General features: G+C 41.0%; 1 annotated feature.

Moving 5' to 3' along the window:
• Positions 8,461-8,510: an enhancer, noted in NCBI's record as "active region_27526". NCBI's record gives its function as "activates an Ori minimal core promoter by ATAC-STARR-seq in GM12878 lymphoblastoid cells {active_cell/tissue: GM12878}" and the evidence as "EXISTENCE:reporter gene assay evidence [ECO:0000049][PMID:35858748]".

The raw sequence follows: 8,510 nt of genomic DNA, 5'->3' as shown, positions 1-8,510 counted from the left end.
AAGCTGCTGTTGATGCTTCTGACGCCTGCACACCCAGGGCCATTGTTCTCAAAGTGTGGTTCCCTGGACCAGAACTATTAGCCTCACCAAGGACTTTTTAAGAATGCTGATTCTCAGACCCCACCCAGCTCTACAGAATTGGAAACTCTGGAGCTGAGGCCCAGCAGCTCCAGTTTTAACAAACCCTCTAGGTGATTCGAATGCATCCTAAATGTTTAAGAAGCACTGCCCAAGGGGATGAGAGAGAACCATATCTCAAACATGAGGATCTCAATATAGTTTTTCCCTCGAATTCTATATATTTGTCACATGTGCTCCCTGCAGGCATACCTACAGACACCTATGGTAACTGTGTTCCCATCTAGAAATGATTTGGCATTTTGAAACCAGAGTCTATGAATAAGCCAAGTGAATTCTAAAATAATCTCTCCAATTTCCTCCTTGGTCCTGCTTGCAGATGGAATTTTGGGCAGCAAATCTAGTCTTTTCTGTCTAGCTGTTAATCACTTAAAGGAAGCATTATGTAACACGGGTAGAATTGAACTGCCTTAGCAGCCCCAGCTAGGAGGACAGCAAAACCAGTAAAAATTGTTCTCGCCCCAACATTTTAATAAGTAAAGAATGCCTCTTTGCTCTCTGGTTGCATCTTCCCCTAGGCAATGACTGCATGATGAGCTCCAGGGTGAGCTTGTACCTGGTTCTCCCTGTGCCTGCTGGAGGCTTGTGCTCAAGCTGGGGCCCTTGCAGTTGGGGCCATGGGAGAACCAAGTTCTTCTCCACTCCTTGCTGAGGCCCAAACTTCTGTAGGTTCAGTAAGTCTGAGCACCATTTTCTTGAGTCCTCAAAGTACACTCCCCTGTGTATACAAACAGCCATGGCGTGCACATAAAATTGTCATAAGTTGAGGTTACCCAGTATGATAAAAATTTCATTATAGCTTCCAGATCCATCCATGTCCCTGTGAAGGACATGATTTATTTCCTTTTTATGGCTGCATAGTATTCCATAGTGTATATGTACCACATTTTCTTTATCCAGTCTATCATTGGTGGGCATTTGGGTTGATTCCATGTATTTGCAATTGTGAATTATCCTCAGCAAACTAATGCAGGAACAGAAAACCAAACACTGCATGTTCTCACTTACAAGTGGGAGCTGAACAATGAGAACACATGGACACAGGGAGGAGAACAACACACTGGGATCTGTCTGTCGGGGTGGGGGCAGGGGGAGGGAGAGCATCAGGATAAACAGTTAATGCATGCAGGACTTAATACCTAGGTGATGGGTGGGTAGGTGCAGCAAACCACCATGGCACATGTTTACTTATGTAACAAACCTGCACATTTTGCACATGGATCCTAGAACTTAAAATAAAACTAAATTTAAAAAAATTCACCATAGGCCACTGCACAATTTTAAAATCTCATCTGATCTCATATGATCCTGTAGAAAATGTGAAGGTCAATTACTCTTTATACATTGAAGTCCAAAGTCCAAAGCCACAAAACCTTGCTCCCACGAACAGCCTGTCTTCCCCAAATTCCCCTCTTGTCTTTATATTTGTCAGTGTTCCTTGTTCATGCACTAAGTATTGAGGTATGTGACAGGTTCTAAAATAAAAACTCACACTTTTATCTCAGCTGGAGATCTGAATAGGCTGAGAAATGAAACATGAAGCGAGACATAAAATATACTATGACAAAGGCTAAATTGGAGACTAACGCTTAGTTCGGAGGACAAATGCACAGCTTGTGAAAGCCAGGCTGACAGGCAGTGGCAGAGCTTGGGAGTGCAGAGGGAAATGGGAGGTTGCTATGCACCCCTTCTCCAAGAGGAAGAGGGCAGAGCTGAGCCAAGCAAGCTCCCTTCATCCTTCCTGAAAAGTATCTTCCTCAGAGTTGACACGTAATAGTCAGAGGAGTTTTCCACCTCCTGGGAACAGACTGAGCAAAGGAGCAGAAGGAGGCTCAGGCTTGAATTACACCAACTGAGCTCCTTCACGTGGAAATAAACAGCAGTGGCCAGGTGCGGTGGCTCATGCCTGTAATCCCAACACTTTGGGAGGCCCAGGTGGGCAGATCACCTGAGGTCAGGAGTTTCAGACCAGCCTGACCAAAATGGCGAAACCCCATCTCTACTGAAAATACAAAGCTTTTCCAGGCGTGGTGGCAGGCACCTGCAATCCCAGCTACTCAGGAGGCTGAGGCATGAGAATTGCTTGAACCCGGGTAGCAGAGGTTGCAGTGAGCCGAGATCACACCACTGCACCCCAGCCTGGGCGACAGAATGAGATATCTTCAAAAAAAAAAAAAAAAAGGAGAAAAAAAAAAAAAGAAACAGCAGCATTGGGTTTTTCCCTCGCAAAGAAGAAAATATTTTTAATAATCTTTTTCCATGACATATGTGAGTTATTCATCTAATATGTGGAGGGCCTGGGTACACATGCTATTTAAATATGCTTTTAAAAATTGTGTCCAGCACTTAAAAGCAAAGCACTTTAAGAAATACAAGCTTTTTTGGTCAGGCACAGTGGCTTCTGCCTGTAATCCCAGTGTTTGGGAAGGCTAAGGTGAGAGAATTGCTTAAAGTCAGGATTTTGAAACCAGCCTGGGCAACATAGTGAGATGCCTTCTCTACAAAAAATAAAAATAAATTAGCTCTGCATGATGGCACACACCTGTAGTCCCAGCTATGGGCAAAAGCAGGAGGATTCATTGAGGCCAGAAGTTTGAGACTGCAGTGAGCTATGATTGTGCCACTGCACTCCAGTTTGGGTGACAGAGCAAGATCCTGCCTCTTAAAAAAGAAAAATAAAATAGCTTGTTGAGTCAAAATATGTATCACAGGTTGGTTTATAAAACTTCACAGCAAACTGCAGATTTAAAAAAAATGTATTACAAAGGGTACAATTTCAATGAGTGGGTGAAATGGGTCAAGTGGAAAGAATTTCTAGTTTCCTGCAAGGAACAATAATTGATTCTGCTTTGTGCCTCTCTCCCTTTTACAACTAAAGATGGGTGGAGCAGAAAGCTACATGGAGTCAAAGCTAGTTTTTCTCTTTTGAAAGCGTGCAACTTCACTGAATATTTGTGCTAAACAACTTGTTCTTCTCAGTTACCAGCTTTTTCAATGTGAGATTAGTGTTGAAAATTCATCGACTGTAATCAATCTGCCTTTAAATATATATTACATTGGAAAAAAATGACTTCATGAGAGTTCTGCCTTGTGGCATTCCAATTTTGTAGAACTATGATAAAAACTCCTTGATAAAAGCTTCTTAGTTTGAGTATTAAGGAATCTAATGAATTTTTAAGTAGCCTACTTTATAAAAAAATGATAAATCAAAGAGAATTGCTATGGTTTAAATGTTTGTGCCCCATTCAAAATTTGTGTTGAAACTTAATTCCCAATGCAACAGAATAAAGAGATGGAGCCTTCAGGAGGGGTTAGACCATGTAGGCTAATGGATTAGTGCCTTATTAAAGGGTTTATGCCATGTGAGGATATAGTATTCATTCCCTCTGAAGGATGCGGCCACAAAGCTGTATCTTGGAAGCAGAGAGGGCAGCTTTCACCAACCATCAACTTGCCAGTGCCTTGATCTCAGACTTCCCAGCCTCCAGAACTGTGAGAAATAAATTTATGTTGTTTATAAGTGACTCAGTCTCAGGTATTTTGTTATAACCCCACGAACGGACTAAGACAAGAGTACTATAAAAATTGGTTAAATCATTTAAATTTTTGACAAGTTTTCTGATTCAAAATAATTTGTAACTGTTTCTTGTATATAGGTGTATGTCTCTAACTCTGGAATGACTTTCTATAATATCAGTGATTTTTTTACCCAGGATTCCTTTAAATGATGGGTATAATGCTACTCATGTAATGACATCATTAAGTAAAATACTAGCTCACAGTTGTAGTGTGACTGTAAAATCTGAAAGGTCTAAGAGTTTGTAAATTTGAAAACACCACACCTGAGGGAAAATTCAATTCAATTAAATTGATAGAAAATCACATTTCCCTTTTAACCACCATGCTTCCACTTTGAAGAGGAGATCATCTAAATATAATGCCTTAAGGTTAGCAAAATTTTAACTATTTTGACTTTTAGTTTAAAAGAGAAATTGGCTGCTCCATACATCACTCACCAGATCAAGCCATTCTTGCGAGCAGCTGGTTTTTGCACAGTGAAGGTGGTCCAGAGAGATGACATCTCTGTGTGGAGTGTGGATTTCAGGTGTGGATGGGGTGTTTAGCACCCAGGGCACAGTGTGAGGAGTGCAGGCAGGCCAAGAAGCTATAGACACTGAGCCAGCACAGTGATCCAAGCCCAGAGCTTAGTCCTGATCACAAGGATCCATCTACTAAAGAATTGACAAGCCCAACAAAGCACAGGGGAGGACAAAATTAAGCCCTCATAATCAGGCTTTGAACAACATTGATAAAGGCAAACTTTTAAAATGATTCTTTTTTAGTGTTTCTTTGATGCTTTGTCTCATTGGCATTATTTGGTAGCATTGACTTTGAATGTTCATTTTCAAAGCAGGCATTTGAGATGAGCTACAGGTCACTTGGGATGATTTTGTTGAAAATTGATAATAATCCATTGTGATTGGCAAGTTTGTGTAGAGAGTTTGGGACAATTTGGATATAGAAAAGTCCTATCCAGAGCTACTCAAAATTTTCTTCTATAACCACTCACCCTTTACTTTTCTATACACCTATTGCAATGGAGAAATAGCTTTTACAATTTGATGCGAATTTCATGCAAAAGTTTGATAAAAATTTTGAGCATCAACTGCGCATTGAATAAGAGAAAATCCTTGCATTCAAGTTAGTGAATGAGAAAATTAACAATTATAATTACAGTGACAACGATATGCAAAAAGACTGTGTAAGGTAATTTTGTCTAGTCCAGGAATTGAATGGAGGCTTCCTAGAGGAAATGCTGCTTGAATTGTGCCTGAATAAATAGTTCTTAGCCAGGAAAGAAGGGAGGGTGGTCAGAGAATATTTCTAGTGAATGGAGCAAAATGGATAAAACCCCAGAGGTATGAAAAAGAGAGATGGGAAACAGCAGTGTGTCCAGGGAGACACAAGCAGTTGAAAGCATGACAGGGCAGAGTGAGAGACTGGAGTGGTGGGGGTTGAGGCTGGGTCATTACATGGAGCAGGTCATGGTGAACAGTGTTAAGAGCTCTGGTCTTAATCCTTAGGCAATGCAGGAGCCATGGGAGAGTGTTGAGTGGCAAAGATGTCTTTAGAAAGACATGGCTGTGGGGAGAAAGGATTTGAGGAAGACAAAACAAAATAAGGAAACCATCATGTGAAACATTGCAGTAGGAGAGAGATGATGAAAGACTGAATAAGGCAATAGCTATGAGGATGGAGAGTTGAGAGATGGATTTGGAAACTATCAGGAGCTAAAATCAGTACAATGTGGGGAAAGTGAAGGAGAAAAAGGTGAGATGGTGGACTCAGTATCTGACTTGGGTAACTGATGGGCTGTAGTGGAAATACAGCTTACAGGAGAAGCAGACTTAGAAGAATGTAAGTTTAGTTATAGATATTTCACATGGGAGCTGCCCAGGTGAAGATGTCCATGAAGTAGCTGGATCTAGCTTTGAGAAGTATTGCCCAGGTAAGGGTTGCTGCTTCTACAGATTTGGAAATCAGCAGCACAGCGACAGGAATTAAAACTGTGAAATGAGTGGGATAACCCAGGGAGAATGTGTGGAATGCTGAGACCCATGGTAAGAGGCAGCATATGAATGGGAGGTCCACAAAGGACAAAAAAAGTATCCATCAGCTCACAGAAGAGGCAAGAAGAGGTGGGTTGAAGGGTGGCACTGGGGGGTGAGCTTTACAGAGAACTAGTGGGATTGGAGAGAATCTGATCAAGAGTTAGGTCAGGAAAAAGACTGGGGATTCCCCTTAAAAGTATAATTTTAACAGCCTTCTCTGATTAGGTATGCTTACATAGTTGAACAAGATTTAACCCACAAAGTCAATTTGAGAAACATGTTGACTTGTGGCCTAAGTCATTTGTATCAACCAGCACAGTGTACTGCAGTAACAATAGCTACTATCATACATGACTATATATATTTAAATTAATTCAAAGTAAATAAAGTTAAAACTTGGTTCCTCAGCAGCACTAGTGGCACTACTTACTAATAGTACTAGTAGCACCAATACATTTCAAGTGCTCAGTAGATACATTTGGTTATGATCCTAGTGGCTATCATATTGAACAGCACAGATATATGACAGAAAGTTCTATTGGGCATTGCTAATCTAGAAAATAATTGATTGGTCTGTTATTGCCTAAGGAAGGAGCCATGCAATCAAAATGCAGCTCACCTGTAGGCAAATTACAGATGTGGTCTCAGTAATTATTCAGTTCTATGTTTTATATACTTGACATTACAGTGTTAGTACTAAAAGACTTTGAAAACTGAAATTATTTGGAGCTAATTGCAGGAAATTCATATTTAGCAGTACTAAGTAGAGGTGTTTTCCTTTCCCTTGTGTGTTCAGAGTTGGTAAAATGTGGATATGCTGCCAATCATCTGTGTGATTAGGGAAATTAAACTAAGCATTTTAAGTTCGCGTTTACTTTCTCAAAATCCACCAAATGACCCAAACCTTGTATGTACTAAGGGACACTTTGCTCTTAGGAAAAAAAAATATTTTTACCATTTTTAATCCAAGCCAATGATCTAAACTGGTTCCATAGTTCAATGGCATAAAGTAAGAGGGGAGTGGGCACCAAAATACTGTTTCACTGAGAAAAAATGTAGGCTAAAAAGTAAAAGTATCTCCTTAAATTTGTGTTTTTTAAGAAATTATTCTTCATATTGGAGAGTATTAATGTTAGCTTCTACTGATAAACATTAGTAATAATCACAAAACATTAAAATGAAATTAATATCTATCATAAAAATGACTTAAAAGATGAAGGTAGGAGTTCACCAAAAAGCTTATTTGCTATAGTATTTAATACTGCCTTTGATAATAAAACAATGGCTATCATGGTGATATGGTTTGGATCTGTGTCCCCACCCAAATCTCAAGTTGAAATGTATTCCCAGGTCCAGGCACGGTGGCTCACACCTGTAATCTCAGCACTTTGGAAGTAGAGGCAGGTGGATCACGAGAAGCCAGGAGTTTGATACCAGCCTGGGCAACAAAGGGAAATGAAACCACATCTGAAAAAAAAAAAATAGCCAGGTGTGGTCAAGCACACCTGTTGTCCCAGCTACTCCGGAGGCTGAGGTGGGAGGTTTGCTTGAAGCTCCAGGAGGTCGGGAGACTCTGCCAGAAAGAAAGAGAAAGGAAGGAAGGAAGGAAGGAAGGAAGGAAGGAAGGAAGGAAGGAAGGAAGGAAGGAAAAGAGAAGGAAAGGAAAGGAAAGGAAAAGAAAGAAAAGAAATACCCAAGGTGAAGTCTTGAGGGGGGTGATTGGATCATGGAGGCGGTTTCTAATGCATTAGCACCATCCCTCTAGCGCTGTTCTTGTGATAGAGTTCTCATGAGATCTGGTTGTTTAAAAGTGTGTAGCACCTCCCCCCTCACTCTCTTGCCCCTGCTCCAGCCATGTAAGATGTGCCTGCTTCCCCTTCACTTTCCATTATGATTGTAAGTTTCCTGAGGCCTTCCCAGAAGCAGAAGCCACTATGCTTCCTGTACAGCATGCAGAACCATACAAATTACCCAGTCTCAGGTATTTCTTTATACCAGTGCAAGAATGGACAAATAATACACATGGGGATGCTGGCCAGGTGGAAGATGCTGCTAGCCTGGCTGATTCAAGCATGAAGCATGGCGGGGCCAGCTGGTGCATTGCCTAGATATATCAAGTGCCTGCTTAATTGGCAGCAAAGTGCAAATGGCTAATTCTCTCTCTCTCCCTCCTCTCTCTCTCTCTCTCTGTGTGTGTGTCTGTGTGTGTGTGTGTGTGTGTGTGTGTGTGTGTGTGTGTGTGTGTGGTGTGTGCTTATGTGTGTTTTTCTGACTTGGTCAGCTCCATAATAAAAAATAAATTCTCAGCTTTGCCACACGAATCTATAAGAGACATTAAATAGTCTAACCAAAGTCTAGAAGAGTAATGGTGAGAATATGAAGGGGAAAGGAAATGAGAAAGAAACGCAAAACAAAGTAATGATGTCCAAGAAAAACAGAAGCTATTTAGCAAGAGCTGAAAATCTGTTATTCTAAAGGCGGCCAGGAGGTGGCAGCAGAGCTGCGGGTAAGACGGCATGCTCTTCCTAATAAGTGGAACTGAAACGGACAACGCGCACAACCATTTCTCTTTATGATACAAAGCCAGTAGCACAATCTAAGTAGCCATATCCTCAGGAGAAATCTGCTTTCACCCTGAGAATGACTGATTTTAAGCATAATTTAAAGAATTTACACAGTCTCTGCTTTAAAGGAATGAGGGTGCTATGGGGCGTGGACAGAGAGCAACAAGCCCACCATGAGAGAAGAAGATAGACTATT

This window comes from Homo sapiens, chromosome 8 (assembly GCF_000001405.40).
Source record: "Homo sapiens chromosome 8, GRCh38.p14 Primary Assembly".
Taxonomy (NCBI): domain Eukaryota; kingdom Metazoa; phylum Chordata; class Mammalia; order Primates; family Hominidae; genus Homo; species Homo sapiens.
The sequence above is the reverse complement of the archived record's forward strand: the minus strand, read 5'-3'. Positions and strand labels throughout refer to the sequence as shown.